Source organism: Homo sapiens, chromosome 5 (genome assembly GCF_000001405.40).
Source record: "Homo sapiens chromosome 5, GRCh38.p14 Primary Assembly".
Lineage (NCBI taxonomy): Eukaryota > Metazoa > Chordata > Mammalia > Primates > Hominidae > Homo > Homo sapiens.
Window position 1 is genome coordinate 112,604,198 of NC_000005.10, and position 1,347 is coordinate 112,605,544.

At 42.4% G+C, this 1,347-nt stretch overlaps 1 annotated feature.

Annotated features, from left to right (window-relative positions):
- Window positions 952-1,081: a silencer, noted in NCBI's record as "silent region_16237". NCBI's record gives its function as "represses an Ori minimal core promoter by ATAC-STARR-seq in GM12878 lymphoblastoid cells {active_cell/tissue: GM12878}" and the evidence as "EXISTENCE:reporter gene assay evidence [ECO:0000049][PMID:35858748]".

Below are 1,347 nucleotides of genomic sequence, written 5' to 3' on the forward strand. Positions count from 1 at the left end.
TTACTCCTAATCCCTGCCTCAGGCTTTCATTGCTTTGTCACCCAATCATAACTGCTTAGCTAGCTTTAACTCTTGGCCCTTTATATCTATTATATGCCTGGCTCTCTGGCTTGGTCCCTTCACTGTTGCGGATATAGATTGTTTTTTACTTTCTATTAACCCCAGACCACTAGGACCCAAGCCTCCCCACCAGAGGGAAATCTGTTAGTACATGAGTTCTCCAGTTCTGCCCTTGAAACTCATGTGCAGTATTTTCCCAGGTGCATCGCCCAGCACCACAGTCCCTGGAGGAATGGGGCATTGCTGTGAATGGTGGATCAATTTCTTTTTTGCCCAACATCTGCCACTGCCCAATCAGAAGCAGCGTATTTGCTCTACTTTTGAAGTAGTACAAAGAGAGAGAAAGAATGTTGGTGGCAGATTGTCCTCAGAAGAATCTGGGAGTAGAGCAAGAAAAGTCTATTTTTTGTGCACATATTTCTTTTTATTGTAGTATGAAAATATCTTTCTACATAGATTTTTCTTATTTATTTCCCCTCTTGCATCAGTTAGGGAATAAGTTCAGCTGCAAATAGTAAAACCCCAAAGAACAGTGACTTACATAATTCACCTTAGAGGGAGTTCACTTCCCCACATTTCCTGGTTGCATCATGGGGTTCCTTTGGCACTTCATCTGAATTCAGAAATGGTGGAGGGAGGTGGAGACATGAGGTGTGTACCTCAGGCTGCAGTCTGCATGGACCTACACAGAACCATCATCACAGCAGTGACAGAGGCAGAGCAATTTTATTTTTCTCAATGAGTAATGAGAAATCTGGAGGGAGACAGTTGGCAGAAGTGAATTCATTGTTCAAGGATGTCAAGGCCAAAGTGTTTATGATTCTCATGGTCTGTCCTTCATCGTCACTGCATATTCTATCTTTACTATAGTGTCTACATTGCAGGCAGGAAAAAAACAGAAAGGGCAAAGTACAAAAGGGCACATGTCAGCTCAGTCCTTAGAGCTCCCCCCAGTGTCTTCTGATTGCATCCTGCTGGGTAGTGTAAGTCACAGGGCCGTCCCTATCTTCAAAGGAAGGGTATGTAGTTATGCATCTATGCACATGCCTAACCCCCTCCCCACCCCATCAGAAAATTAGAGTTGTACAAAAAAAAAAAAAAAAAAGGAAGTAGAGACTGATATTGATTGGACAGGCAAGGAGCAGTGTCAGTTTCTGAAACTGGGCAAGGAAACAAAGGATGCTAAGAGCATCCAAGAAAATCTGAAAGTATGGCTATGAGGAAATGTGTTTATTGCATAAACATTTATTTTTATTGTCAGGAACAGATGTCTTCCCATATAGCTTT